The 14,020-nt window shown below is 51.3% G+C and overlaps 1 protein-coding gene across 6 annotated transcripts in view, besides 1 other annotated feature; it reads left to right on the forward strand.

The window, feature by feature from the left end:
- The window catches only part of RYR1 (ryanodine receptor 1), a 153,874-nt gene that overhangs the window by 37,554 nt on the left and 102,300 nt on the right, over positions 1-14,020 (forward strand). For all 6 annotated transcript variants that reach the window (NM_000540.3, XM_011527205.3, XM_006723317.3 and 3 more), the window contains exons 28-33: positions 2,133-2,527; positions 4,074-4,206; positions 6,466-6,626; positions 7,191-7,356; positions 11,783-11,869; positions 12,046-12,272. In NM_000540.3, coding sequence (NP_000531.2) covers positions 2,133-2,527; positions 4,074-4,206; positions 6,466-6,626; positions 7,191-7,356; positions 11,783-11,869; positions 12,046-12,272 — 1,169 coding nt within the window. The remainder of the gene's footprint in view (positions 1-2,132; positions 2,528-4,073; positions 4,207-6,465; positions 6,627-7,190; positions 7,357-11,782; positions 11,870-12,045; positions 12,273-14,020) is intronic.
- Positions 7,453-7,796: a silencer, noted in NCBI's record as "fragment chr19:38969337-38969680 (GRCh37/hg19 assembly coordinates)". NCBI's record gives its function as "represses an EF-1alpha promoter that drives an FKBP-Casp9 reporter gene in an ReSE screen in K562 erythroleukemia cells {active_cell/tissue: K562}" and the evidence as "EXISTENCE:reporter gene assay evidence [ECO:0000049][PMID:32094911]".

Here is a 14,020-nt window from a genome sequence, read left to right on the forward strand (position 1 = left end):
CTGGTTGGATGCGGTGGCTCACGCCTGTAATCTCAGCACTGTGGGAAGCCAAGGTGGGAGGATCACTTGAGCCTAGGAATTCAAGACCAGCCTGGGCAACATAGCAAAACCCTGTCTCTACACAGAATAAACAAAATTATCTGGGCATGGTGGTATGTGCCTGTGGTCCCAGCCACTTGGGAGGCTGAAGTGGGAGGATTGTTTGAGCCCAGGATTTCGGGGCTGCAGTGAGCCGTGGTTGCACCACAGCACTCCAGCCCAGGTGACAGAGCAAGACCTGTCTCTAAGAAAAAAAGAGTGAATGCAGAAACCAGATTTATAAGACAGAGGGGAGAAAGAGGAGAGAAAAAAGACCCCTAAAGAGTCTGAGAACAGGCTGGGCTCGGTGGCTCATGCCTGTAATCCCAGCAGTTTGGGAGGCCGATGTGGGTGGCTCACCTGAGGTCAGGAGTTCGAGACCAGCCTGGCCAACATAGTGAAACCCCGTCTCTTCTAAAAATACAAAAAATTAGCCAGGCATGGTGCCGGGCGCCTGTAATCCCAGTTACTCGGGAGGCTGAGGCAGGAGAATTGCTTGAACCCAGGAGGCAAAAGTTGCAGTCAGCCAAGATTGCACCATTGCACTCCAGCCTGGGTGACAGCGAGACTCTGTCTCAAAAAAAAAAAAAAAAAAAAAGATTCTGAGAACAAAGAATCTTGTATGCACAGTTTTAGGGCAAATTCATTGGCTGGCAAGGAGTACCTAGGTTCATCTTGGCAACTGGTCCTTGGAGAGGTCAACGTGAGGAGGGGCATGAAAGAGAACAACTTTCATTGTTTACCGAGTCTCTAGGAGACTTTTGAGAGTCCATTGTTTTTGGTTTTTGTTTTTTGAGACTGGGTCTCACTCTGTCACCCAGGCTGGAGTCCAGTGGCAAGATCTCAGCTCCCCACAACCTCTGCCTCCCGAGTTCAAGCGATTCTTTTGCCTCAGTCTCCTTAGTAGCTGGAATTACAGGCATGTGCCACCACGCCTGGCTAATTTTTTTGTATTTTTAGTACAGATGAGGTTTCACCATGCTGGCCAGGCTGGTCTCAAACTCCTGACCTCAGGTGATCAGCCCGCCTCAGCCTCCCAAAGTGCTGGGATTACAGGCATGAGCCACTGCGCCCTGTCGCTATTTGTGGAATTGTAACTGAACACAGGTTCAGTTGCTCATCAGTTACAGAGTCCAATTAACAAGAGCGAGGTCTGGTAGAAAGAAAATGACTTTATTCATCAAAACTAGTCATGGAGAAGTGACCGGATTCCCATCCGAAGCAACCACTTCAAATCTAGGGGGGAAAGCAAGGGTTTAAAAAGGGGAAACTTGGCTGGGGGTGGTGGCTCACGCCTGTAATCCTAGCACTTTGGGAGACTGAGGCAGGCGGATCACATGAACTCAGGAGATTGAGACCAGCCTGGGCAACATGGTGAAACCCCGTCTCTACCAAAAATACAAAAATTAGCCAGGCGTGTTGGCTCATGCTTGAATCCAGGAGGCAGAGGTTGCAGTGAGCCAAGATCACACCATTGCACTCCAGCCTGGGTGACAGAGCAAGACTCTTGTCTAAAAAAAAAAAAAAAAAAAAAAGAAGTCTGAGAACAAAGAATCTTGTACGCACAGTTTTTGGGGCAAATTTTCAGGAGACTGAGACACAAGAATCATTTGAACCCTGTAGGCAGAGGTTGCGGTGAGCCGAGATCCTGCTATTGCACTCCAGCCTGGGCCACAGAGCAAGACTGTGTCTCAAAAAAAAAAAAAAAAGCATTGAAGTTGAGCTGCCTGGTTACTGGTTACAGAATGACAGAGTAGATTGTTAGATGGATGTAGGGAGGTTTTGGAAGTTACCCCAAGTGATTCCAGTGTGTGTCCGGGGCTGCTAGTGTACACGACGCCCAGAGAAATGTTGCAGAGGGCTGCAAGCACCCCAGGGCCCAGCGGTGTACCCGGCCGGGAGCTTCATCCCCCTGCAGGAGTGGGGGGCCCTTGACTAATTCCCATGCAGGTGCACTATGGCCTAATGGTGGCTCCGTGTGTGACCAGGTGTAGGACCAACGGCCTGGCCTAGCCCGCCTGCCCAGCCCAGTACTCCATTCCCTGCCACCTCAGGTATCCCGAGTGGACGGCACTGTGGACACGCCCCCCTGCCTGCGCCTGACCCACCGCACCTGGGGCTCCCAGAACAGCCTGGTGGAGATGCTTTTCCTGCGGCTGAGCCTCCCAGTCCAGTTCCACCAGCACTTCCGCTGCACTGCAGGGGCCACCCCGCTGGCACCTCCTGGCCTGCAGCCCCCCGCCGAGGACGAGGCCCGGGCGGCGGAACCCGACCCTGACTACGAAAACCTGCGCCGCTCAGCTGGGGGCTGGAGCGAGGCAGAGAACGGCAAAGAAGGGACTGCGAAGGAGGGCGCCCCCGGGGGCACCCCGCAGGCGGGGGGAGAGGCGCAGCCCGCCAGGGCGGAGAATGAGAAGGATGCCACCACCGAGAAGAACAAGAAGAGAGGGTGAGTCGAGGGGGGCCCAGAGTGGGGATTGGGGGCTGCCTTGGGACCCCCAAGTAGGCAACCACAGTAACCTGAGAAACCCCCATTGTACCCCAAAGTAGACCCATATATGCTAAGTGGAGTAAGAATACCGAGAGATTCTATCATGTCTCCAATGAACCCCATTATTTTCCTGGGATGCCCTAATGTCCCCAAGAATATATAATTGGGTACCCTAGTATCTATATGGAGAACTCTATTATCCTTGAGTACCTGGAGGGCCCCAAAGGGCTTCGCCCAATGGACCTTATCATCCGTGGACACTAAAAGGGACTTCAGTATCTTCCTAGGAGAGTTTACTGCACAGTAAGGTATCCCAGTGAATACCCAGTGGTCTTCTAAATGGGGATCCTTTCTGTGTCACAAATGTACCCCCCGAAATCTAACTTAAAGGGAGATTCTGAGAAGGTACTAAATCTGCTTTTTCCCTACAATGGCAGTGGTTTCCTTTTTTTCTTTCTATCTTTTTTTTTTTGAGGAGGAATCTCTGTCGCCAGGCTGGAATGCAATGGCGCAATCTCAGCTCACTGCAACCTCCACCTCCCGGGTTCAAGCGATTCTTCTGCCTCAGCCTCCTGAGTAGCTGGGATTACAGGCACGCGCCACCATGCCCAGCTAATTTTTGTATTTTTAGTAGAGACGGGGTTTTGCCATGTTGGCCAGGCTGGTCTCAAACTCCTGACCTCAGGTGATCCACCCACCTCAGCCTCCCAAAGTGCTGGGATTATAGACATGAGCTACCACGCCCGGCTCCTTTTTTTTTTTTTTTTTTTTTTTTTTTTGAGATGGAGTCTTGCTCTGTTGCCCAGTCTGGAGTGCAATGGCACGATCTTGGCTCTCTGCAATCTCCGCCTCCTGGGTTCAAGCAATTCTCCTGCCTCAGCCTCTTGAGTATCTGGGACTACAGGTGTGTGCCACCACACCCGGCTAATTTTTGTATTTTTGGTAGAGACAGGGTTTCACCATGTTGGCCAGGCTGGTCTTGAACTCCTGACCTCAGGTGATCCGTACGATGGCAGAGGTTTTCAATGGGATTGAAAACCCATTGTGTCTCTTGGTGGATGTTTGGAAATGATGGAGTCTTTGTGGTCATTACAGTTTGGGAGGGGCTGCTGCTGCTGGGCGGGGGCCCCAGGGTTCCGCCTGCCTTGCAGTGTACAAAACAGTGCCGCACAATGAAGAATTGTCCTTTTCCAAGTGCATTTAGCACCTATACGAGAAATGCATGTGGGAAATGCTGACTTAGGGGGACCCCCATATAACCCAGTGGGGACCTCCATATTCCCAGAAGGCGCCTTTAATTTGGGTAACTCAGCATCCACAAGCGCAGAGCATAGCACTTCTAGAATGGATTAGTCTGGGGTAGGTGGGAATCCAGCCCTCTAGAGGCAAGACCTGGGGTATTAGAAGCAGGGTGTATCCAAGCTGGATGTGGGGGCATGAATATTGCGGTGGGAGGGCTGGGCTTGAAAGCTGGCTCTCATGGCGCCTCTCCTCCCACTACCAGCTTCTTATTCAAGGCCAAGAAGGTCGCCATGATGACCCAGCCACCGGCCACCCCCACGCTGCCCCGACTCCCTCACGACGTGGTGCCTGCAGACAACCGCGATGACCCCGAGATCATCCTCAACACCACCACGGTGTGGACCAGTAACCCTCAATTTTGGGGTCCCCCCGCATAGCATAGGCACTCCTGAATTTCCAAGTTTAGTGTGACAGTCCCCAGTAGCTGCCCACCTTACACTGGGGACTCCCCAATATACACTAGAAACTCATAAAATATGGCACACACAGATTTAATCCTTTGAACCCCTAAATCCATATAGCTATGGCCCACAAACGGCAGGGAGTACAGTAGAGGTGTACAGCACACTGATATAACTCCTGGGGATCCCCAAAGCCATGATATAAGCCAATATAGACTAGGGACCCCAACATTTGGGCTCACTCATATAAACACAATACCCTCAATGTAATACCTACTCTAATATATTACTGGGAACAAAAATTCATAATTGTCTTAATATAGTTTTGGGATTTCCCCAAATCCAAAATATTTCATAGACAGACAGCCTAGTGCAGTGCTCCCCAACTATTTTGGCACCAGGGATCAATTTTGTGGAAGACAGTTTTTCCGTGGACCACGGATGCGGGGAAGGATGGTTTCAGGATGAAATGTTCCATCTCGGATCATCAGGCATAGATTCCTTTTTTTTTTCTTTTTATTTTTGAGATGGAGTCTTGCTCTGTTGCCCAGTCTGGAGTGCAGTGGTGTGATCTTGGCTCACTGAAACCTCTGCCTCCTGGGTTCAAACGATTCTCCTGCCTCAGCCTCCTGAGCAGCTGGGATAACAGGCTCCTGCCACCATGCCCAGCTAATTTTTGTTTTCTGTTTTTTGTTTTTTTGAGATGGAGTCTCAGCCTGTCGCCCAGGCTGGAGTGCAGTGGCGCGATCTCGGCTCACTGCAACCTCTGCCTCCCGGGTTCAAGTGATTCTTCTGCCTCAGCCTCCCAAGTAGCTGGGACTATGGGCACACGCCACCATGCCCGGCTAATTTTTGTGTTTTTAGTAGAAACGGGGTTTCACCATATTGGCCAGGCTGGTCTCAAACTCCTGACCTCGTGGTCTACCCGCCTCGGTCTCGCAAAGTGCTGGGATTACAGGCATGAGCCACCGTGCCTGGCCTAATTTTTGTATTTTTGGTAGAAACGGGGTTTCACCATGTTGGCCAGGTTGGTCTCAAATCCCCGACCTCAAATGATCCTACTGCCTCAGACTCCCAAAGTACTGGGATTACAGGTGTGAGCCACCGCGTTCGGCTGTAGATTCTTACAAGGAGTACTCACCCTAGGTGGCTTGGATCCCAGTACCAGCCCACAGCCTGGGGTTGGGGATCCCTGGCCTCGAGATTAGATCATGGGCCGACTGGGTGCCACTTGGGCAAAAGTCATTTCACCACTCTATGCCTTCTCTCCTATGGAGGTGCTATGGTTTTCCATCAGTAGAATGGGGGTAAAAATTATACCTACCTGATATGGAGGATGAAGTGAGTTAATCTGTGTAGACCTTAGAACAGGCCTGGCATGATGGCTCACACCCGTAGTCCCAGAACGTTGGGAGGCCAAGGTGAGAGGATCACTTCAATCCAGGAATTTGAGGCTGCAGGCTACGATGGTGCCTCTGCACTCCAGCCTGGATGACAGAGGGAGACTGCAACTCAAAAAAAATAAAAATAAAAAAATAAGGAAAGAAAAAAAAGAAGAAGAAGAAGGAAAGAAAAAAAAGACCTTAGCACAGTCAGTGCTATTTGTGAGCAATTATTTAATTATTTTTTGTATTTTTTTATTTTGAGATGGAGTCTCACTCTGTCACCCAGGCTGGAGTGCAGTGGCACGATCTCGGCTCACTGCAACCTCTGCCTCCCAGGTTCAAGCGATTCTCCTGCCTCAGCCTCCCGAGTACCTGGGACTACAGGCGCCCACCACCATGCCCGGCTAATTTTTGTACTTTTAGTAGAGACAGAGTTTCACCATATTGGTCAGGCTGGTCTCAAACTCCTGACCTCAGGTGATCCACCTTCCTCAGCTTCCCAAAGTGCTGGGATTACAGGCGTGAGCCACCATGCCTGGCCTGCAATTATTTATTTGTCAGTCTACTGTAACCTGGGAGGAACCCAAATATGGCACTGTCACACAATATTCCCAAGGGACTCCTAAATCTAGAATTGCACAAATTGACACAGAAACAGACATAACCAGGGGGTGGGGGACTCAGATCCAACAACTTCCTGTTAAACTCCCAGAGGACCCAACAGTCCAGGGAAACCAATTTCGAGTCCCAGGGAGCCCGAGTCCCTGACTTCCAGACTGACCACTAGTTCCCCTCCTTGTGTCACCAGTACTATTACTCCGTGAGGGTCTTTGCTGGACAGGAGCCCAGCTGCGTGTGGGCGGGCTGGGTCACCCCTGACTACCATCAGCACGACATGAGCTTCGACCTCAGCAAGGTCCGGGTCGTGACGGTGACCATGGGGGATGAACAAGGCAACGTCCACAGCAGGTGCCGGGGCTGGGGGGAGGTGGGAGGTGCAGGGTGGGGAGGGCAGGAGGCAGTCAGAGCTCCCGACACCAGCTCTGTGGCTGCCTGGTTGTGGGACCTAGGAACTTTCTGGAGCGGGAGGATTCTCTGGGGCACTGGGCACCCAGCTCGGAAGCTTCCCTCCTCCTCTTTTTCCTCCTCTCTTCCTGCCCTGGTATTTTTCTTCTCCTCCTCCTCCTCTTTATGCATTTCTCCTATTCCATTTTCTCCTTTTCCTTCTCATCCTGTTTCATCTCACCCTTCTCCTTCTCTGTCATCTCATTCTCTCTCCTCCTGCTTCCCTTGCTTTCCCTCCTTTCAGACCCCCACCCCCATCCTGACTCCCCACTGCGCCAGCTGCTAGGAATCCCAGCTCCGAAGAGCTCAGTGTCCGGGGCGAGGGGTTTCAGCTCTCAGGTCTGCAGGCGGTGGGTGTTTGGGGATGGGACTCTGAGGTTGTGTGTTTCCGGGAGCTTGGGGAAGGGGGTGTCCAGGGTCCAGAGCTACTCACATGAGGAGTGCAGTGACCGCTTCTGTCTCCTGCAGCCTCAAGTGTAGCAACTGCTACATGGTGTGGGGCGGAGACTTTGTGAGTCCCGGGCAGCAGGGCCGGATCAGCCACACGGACCTTGTCATTGGGTGCCTGGTGGACTTGGCCACTGGCTTAATGACCTTTACAGCCAATGGCAAAGAGAGCAACACCTTTTTCCAGGTGAGTCCAGGCCACAGCAATTTAGCGAGAGCATCATGTCCCAGCATCCCAGGACAGCTCTTATAGATGTCCCCTGAGGCCAGACCTCAGAGATGGAACAAAAACAGCTCCTAGGCTGTCCTCAAGAGGTCGCTGGGAGACCACCTTGTTGAAACTTCCATGAAACTAAGGCCCAGACTGGAGGAGATACAGAATCTCACTCTGTTGCCCAGACTGGAGTGCAATGGGACGATCTTGGCTCACTGCAACCTTCGCCTCCTGGGTTAGAGGGATTCTCCTGCCTCAGCCTCCTGAGTAGCTGGGATTACAGGCGAGCACCACAACAGCCGGCTAAGTTTTATGTTTTTAGTAGAGACGAGGTTTCACTGTGTTGGCCAGGCTGGTCTCAAATTCCTGACCTCAAGTGGTCCACCCACCTCGGCCTCCCAAAGTGCTGGGATTACAGGCGTGAGCCACCACACCCAGCCAGAGTCCAGCCTTGACCTTGGAAAGAGGTTTCTGTTCCCTCTTGAGCTGGGTGACACCAGTCACCAACTTCTCTCCAACCAGGGAACACGCTAGGATGGGCCAGAATCCTAAGGTGGCCTTTTCCTTTTCAACATTTTATTCTGAAAAATTTCAATCATACAGCAAAATTGAAGGAGCTATGTAGATAACACCCTGTACCCACCACCTGGAATCTACTATCAATGTTGTAGATATTGGCTTTATCACATATTCACCTACCTGTCCATTAATCTAAGGTGGGTTTGTACAACTTTATTTTAATTTTTTGGCATCCATTGTTGGTTATGAAATTTTATTGCATTTTATTTTCTTTATTTTGAGACAGGGCCTCACTCTGTCCCCCAGGCTGGAGTGCAGTGGTGTGATCACAGCTGACTGCAGCCTCAACTTCCCAGGCTCAAGCAATCCTTCTGTCTCAGCTTCCTAAGTAGCTGGGACTATAGGCATGCACCACCTTGACTAGCTGATTTTTTGTGTGTATTGTTTGTAGAGATGGGTTTTCCTCATATTGTCCAGGCTGGTCTCTCGCTTCTGGGCTCAAGCGATCTCCCCACCTTGGCCTCCCAAAATGCTGGGATTACAGGCTTGAGTCACTGTGCCTGGCTTATTTTTTATTTTTATTTTTTGAGACAGGGTTTCGCTCTGTTACCCAGGCTGGAGTGCCATGGTGAGATCACAGCTCACTGCAGCCACAACCTTCCTGGACTCAAGCGATCCTCCCACTTCAGCCTCTTGAATAGTTGAGAACACAGGCACGTGCCACCATGCCCAGCTAATTTTTTTTGTATTTATTGTGCAGACGGGGTCTCACTATGTTGCCCAGGCTGGTCTCAAACTCCTGGTCTCAAGCAATCCTTCTGCCTCAGCCTCCCAAAGTGCTGGGATTGCAGGCGTGAGCCACTGCTCCTGGCTAAAGCTTTATGTTAAATGGAGAATTAAAAACGTATACAAGAATGGAATAGTATAATGAACTGCCATGCCCCTGTCACACAGCTTCAACTGTCACCCACTCACAGCCAATCTTGTTTCATCTTTTTTGTCTGTTTGTTTTTTGAGAGAGGGTCTCCCTCTGTCACCCAGGCTGGAGTGCAGTGGCGCAATCTCGACTCATTGCAACCTCTGCCTCCCAGGTTCAAGTGATCCTCCCACCTCAGCCTCCTGAGTAGCTGGGACTACAGGTATGCACCACCATGCCTGGCTAATTTTTTTTAGTTTTAGTGGAGACAGGATCTTGCTATGTTGCCCAGGCTGGTCTCAAACTCTTGGGCTCAAGCAATCCTCCTGCCTCAGCCTCCCAAAGTGATGGGATGACAGGTATAAGCCACTGCGCCTGGCTTGTTTCATCTTTTTATATCTACTTCCCTTCCACACCCACTGGATAATTTTGAAGGAAATTGCAGACATCAGATAGTTTCCTCTGTTTTCAGTGTGTAGCTTTAAAAGATAAGGATGATCTTAAAGAGCATAACCACAATACCACTATCACCTAAAAGAAAAAAAAACAATAGTTTCTAAATATCATCAAATATCCAGTTTGTGTTCAGATTTCTCTGGTTGTCCCCAAAATGTCATTTTACCATTTCTTTGTTTGAATCAGAATCTAAGTAGGGTCATATATTTTATTTTATTTATTATTTATTTTTATTTTATTTTTTGAGACAATGTCTCACTCTGTCACCCAGTCTGGAGTGCAGTGGCATGGTCTTGGCTCACTGCAACCTTCGCCTCCCGGGCTCAAGCCTCCTAAGTATGTGAGATTACAGGTGTGCGCCACCACACCCAGCTAATTTTTGTATTTTTAGTAGAGACGGGGTCTGGCTATATTGCCCAGCCTGGTCTTGAACTCCTGGGCTCAAGTGACCCTCCTGCCTTGGCCTCCCAAAGTGCTGGGATTACAGTGTGAGGCAGCATGCTCAACCTTATTTATTTAATTATTTATTTTAATTTATTAAGACAGAGTCTTGCTCTGTCACCCAGGCTGGTGCGCAGTGGTGCCAACCGTACTCAACCTTATTTATTTATTTATTTTAATTTATTAAGACAGGGTCTCATTCTGTCACCCAGGCTGGTGCACAGTGGTGCAATCTTGGCTTACTGCAGCCTCAACCTCCTGGGATCAAACGATCCTCCCACCTCAGCCTCCCAAGTGGCTGGGACCACAGACACGCACTACCACACCTGGCTAATTTTTGTATTTTTTGTAGAGACGGTGTTTTGCCATGTTGCCCAGGCCAGTCTTGAACTCCTGACCTCAAACTATTCGCCCACCTCCACCTCCCATGTAATCCCAGAATATAAAACGTGCTGGGATTACAGGTGTGCACCACCACGCTCGACCAGGGTCATATATTTTAGGTGGTTGCTCTGTACCTTGAGTTTCATTTCATATGTAGATTTCCCCCTCCATTCCTTCTTCTTTCCCAACCCCCCAGAAATGTATTTGTTGAAGGAACCAGGCTATTTGTCCTGTGGCACTTTGCTCCTCAAAGTGTGGTCCCTGGACCAACCAGCAGGAGAGCTGCAGGATCTTTAGCTGGGTCTAGTCATGGGCACCTGCAGTTCCAGCTACCCTGGAGGCTGAGGCAGGAGGATCACCTGAGTCTGGGAGGCAGAGGTTGTAGTGAGCTATGATAGCGCCACTGCACTCCAGCCTGGGTGGCAGAGCGAGACACTGCTTCTTTTTAAAAAAGTTAAAATGGGCCGGGCGTGGTGGCTCACACCTGTAATCCCAGCACTTTGGGAGGCCGAGTTGGGCAGATCACCTAAGGTCAGGAGTTCGAGACCAGCCTGACCAACATGGTGAAACCCCATCTCTACTAAAAATACAAAAATTAGCCTGGCGTGGTGACGGGCGCCTGTAATCCCAGCTACTTGGGAGGCTGAGACAGGAGAATCGCTTGAACGTGGGAGGTGGAGTTTGCAGTGAGCCGAGATGATGCCACTGCACTCTCTAGCCTGGATGACAGAGTGAGACGTCATCTCAAAAAAATAAATAAACAAAATTAAATAAACCCAGAGTCTCAGACCCCTTCCCATGCCTGCCAAATCAGAATCTGTATTTTGACAGGATCCCAGGGGCTTCCTGTGTATATTAAATCTGGAGAGGGCTGGCCTGGTTTCCCATAGCCTGGATCTGGCTGGTGCATTCCTGTGGTGGCTTTTTAACATTTTCCTTTGTCCCCCATATTTCCTGTAAACTGGGAGTTGGGTCCCAGGGTGCAATTAGATCAGGTTTGGTGTGGGCGGGACTGCTTCAGAGACAATGTTGTTTGTGGAGGCAGAGGCTGGCTGGATGGGCTCCACTGGGAAGACGGGAGAGGGGCAAGACAGTCTGAGGACACTTCCTGGAATTTTTTGTTTTGAGATAGGGTCTTGTTCTGTCACCCAGGCTGAAGTGCGGTGGTGCAATCATGGCTCACTGCAGCCTCGACCTCCCAGGATCAAGCGATTCTCTCATCTTAGCCTCCTGAGTAGCTGCAACTACAGATATGGACCGCCATGCCTCGCTAATTTTTTATGTTTTGTAGAGATGGGGTCTCACTACGTTGCCCAGGCTGCTCTTGAACTCTTAGGCTCAGGTGACCCTCCCACTTCAGCCTCCCAAAGTTCTAGGATTACAGGTGTGAGCCATCACACTCTCTGGGTTTTGAATGAGTATGCTTGGGAGAGAAATGCGAAGGGCATTCCCAGTGCGGGGTGTGATGTGTGCAGAGACAGATGACAGGTTGCTCTGGGAAAGTTGGAGGAGGTTGGCCTGGCTGGATCAGAGGTGGGACAGTCTAAGGGTGACCTCTGAGCCATTTTGGAGCCTCTAACGCCCAGATGAGGACCTACAAATTGGCCCCAGAGTTTGAGGTCCAGAGTCAACCCTCCCTCCAGCCCACCCGTTTGCTCACCTCGTCCTCTTCTCCTCTGCCAGGTGGAACCCAACACTAAGCTATTTCCTGCCGTCTTCGTCCTGCCCACCCACCAGAACGTCATCCAGTTTGAGCTGGGGAAGCAGAAGGTACAAGTGCAGTGATGGGGGCACTAATGGGGCCAGGCTGAGGCAGGAGATGTGGGGAGGCCAGGCGGGCAGAGCCACTGAAGGGGAGGGGGCAATCCAAGAGGTCTCCCTGGAAGTGGTGTGGTGGGACAGAGGGGGCTGGCCATCTTGACCCATGTGTGTCTCTCTGCCCTCAGAACATCATGCCGTTGTCAGCCGCCATGTTCCAAAGCGAGCGCAAGAACCCGGCCCCGCAGTGCCCACCGCGGCTGGAGATGCAGATGCTGATGCCAGTGTCCTGGAGCCGCATGCCCAACCACTTCCTGCAGGTGGAGACGAGGCGTGCCGGCGAGCGGCTGGGCTGGGCCGTGCAGTGCCAGGAGCCGCTGACCATGATGGCGCTGCACATCCCCGAGGAGAACCGGTCAGGGCCAGCCCAGCTATGCAGGGGTGGGCAGGTGTTGCAAGCCCTCTGGGGTCTGGGTCCCACTCAGTGCCCCTCCTCAACACAACCCCGGGATTCCAGACTACACCCCAGGAATCTCCAGACCTACCTCAGGGGACTCGGGCTCAGCTCAGACATCCCCAGATTATGTCCCAGGGGGATTCAGACTCAACGCAGGAGGCTCTACACCATCCCAGTGGACCGCAGGCCCACCCTAAGGGAACCCAGACAATACCCCAAGGACCCAGACCCACTCCACAGGGCCCCAAACCCATCTCAGGGAGCCAGACCCACATCAACACCCCAGGGGGCCCCAAGTACACCCCAGGATCCCTGGACATGATTCAGGGAGGCTTGGATGCACCCTAGAGTCTCTTGGGCATATGCAGGGAGGCTTTAAGAAGAATCCCGTGGATATTTCAAACCCACCCCAGGGGACCCAGACACACCTAGGGCCACAGATGCGTTCACATGGATGGCAGGGTTACTCTTAAGAACTCTGAACGTGGCCAGGCACAGTGCCTCACACCTGTAATCCCAGCACGTTGGGAGGCTGAGGCAGGCAGGTCACCTGAGGTCAGGAGTCTCTACTAAAAATACAAAAATTAGCCAGTTGTGGTGGTGTGCACCCATCGTCCCAGCTACTCGGGAGGCTGAGGCATGAGAATTGCTTAAACCCAGGAGGCGGAGGTTGCATTGAGCTAGGATCACGCCACTGCACTCCAGCCTGGGCAACAGAGCAAGATGCCATCTCAAAAAATAGAATTCTGAACGTGGGAGGAATCCCAGACTCACCCAGGAGGCTTCTGACATGCCTCTTTCTTTCTTTCCTTCCTTCCTTCCTCCCTCCTTCCCTCTCTCCTTCCCTTCCTTCCTTCCTTCCCCTCTCCCTCCCTCCCTCCCTTCCTTCCTTCCTCTCTCCCTCCCTCACTTCCTTCCTTTATTCATTCATCCATTCAACAAATAGCTTTGGGTCCCTCCTATGTGCTAGGTAGTATTCCAGGCTGGAGACACCAAGCCCCTGTGAAGTGACATTCTAGTAATGCTTGTACATAACTCAGGATGCTCGGACATGCCCAAAGGGACCCAGGGTCATCCCCAGGGCCCCAGACACACCCGTTTATTAATTTATTCATTCAACAAATATTTATGGGTACAGTGGCTCATGTTTGTAATCTAAGCACTTCAGGAGGCTGAGGAGGAGGGAGGGTTGCTTGAGGCCAGGGGTTTGAAACCACCAGGAAGCACAGTGAGAACCCGTCTCCACATTTTTTTTTTCTTTTTAATTAGCTTGGCTTGGTGGCACACACATGTAGTCTCAGCTACTTGGGAGGCTGAGGCAGGAGGATTGCTTAAGCCCAGGAGTTCAAGGCTGCAGAGCTAGGATCGCACCACTGCACTCTAGCCTGGGCAACAGAGCAAGACCCCATCACTAAACAACAACAACAACAAATGCTAAGCACTTTACTATGTGCTAGGTGTGGTTTTAGGTGCTGGGAATATAACAAACAAAAGCAGAAACAAAACAGGCAGAAATGTCCTGCCCTTGGAATTTACATTCTAATGGCACTCAAACACAACTAGTATACTCAGACCTGCCAGAGGGGGACCCAGTCTGGGGGCCCAAACACATCTTGGAAACATCAGATGTTCTACATGGACTCTCAGACTCTTACGAAGTCCCAGACCATCCCAGGGACCCCAGAGGTATCCCAGGGGCCCCCAGA

This window comes from Homo sapiens, chromosome 19 (genome assembly GCF_000001405.40).
Source record: "Homo sapiens chromosome 19, GRCh38.p14 Primary Assembly".
Classification (NCBI taxonomy): Eukaryota; Metazoa; Chordata; class Mammalia; order Primates; family Hominidae; genus Homo; species Homo sapiens.